We start from the raw sequence: 898 nt of genomic DNA on the forward strand, positions 1-898 counted from the left end.
CTGTTTTTAATAAGTGCTTTCTGGAAAAGGGAGAAGTCCTGCAGAGAGGGATGTATGACACTAACCTTTTTAAGTCTGTTCCTTCCTACACTTTACCTAAAGCAACATCTCTGGAAGAGTGAGCTGGTATTTCAGCTCTGATGCATTTTTTAATCCACCAGGTTATGACCTCCGGTGGATGCCCAAAGCCGTGGCTAGTACTGAACCCTATATATGCTACGATTTTGCCTATACATACATACCTATAAAAAGTTTAATTTATGAAGTAGGCAGAGTACACTAGTATTTTTGGACCATTATTAAGCAAAATAAGGATGACTTGAACACAGGTGCTGCAATAGCATGACAGTTGATCTGAACACCAAGACTGCTATGAAGTGACTCATGGACAGGAGGGTAGACAGAGTGGAGACACTGGACGAAGGGAGGATTCACATCCTAGGCTATTCCAAATGGTGTATTATAATTATGAATTGTTTATTTCTGGAATTTTTTATTTAATATTTTTGGATCACAGTTGACTATAGGTAATCAAAACTGCGAAAAGTGAAACCTTGTATAATGGGGGACTACTGCATTACAAAATGATTTAGCAGTGGGTGGTTATGGGAGAAAAGCTTTAGCCATTGCTATCCTATTGTGCATACAAACAGCCTGCATCCCTCCATACATATTTATATAAGCAGGAGACTTGGGTGATTTTTTTTCATATCATGAATAATTTTAACACTACAGACGTTTGACTTTGAATCAACAACTAGTTTCAGATGAACGTAATTGCAGCCAAAGAAAGTTTCTAACTAAAATTAGTTACTTTTCATTTTTAACAAACTACTGCCTGCTGCATTTCCTGTGATCTCGGCTTTCATCTTCCTCTCATGGAGTCACATGTAACAAT

This window comes from Homo sapiens, chromosome 18 (genome assembly GCF_000001405.40).
Source record: "Homo sapiens chromosome 18, GRCh38.p14 Primary Assembly".
Lineage (NCBI taxonomy): Eukaryota > Metazoa > Chordata > Mammalia > Primates > Hominidae > Homo > Homo sapiens.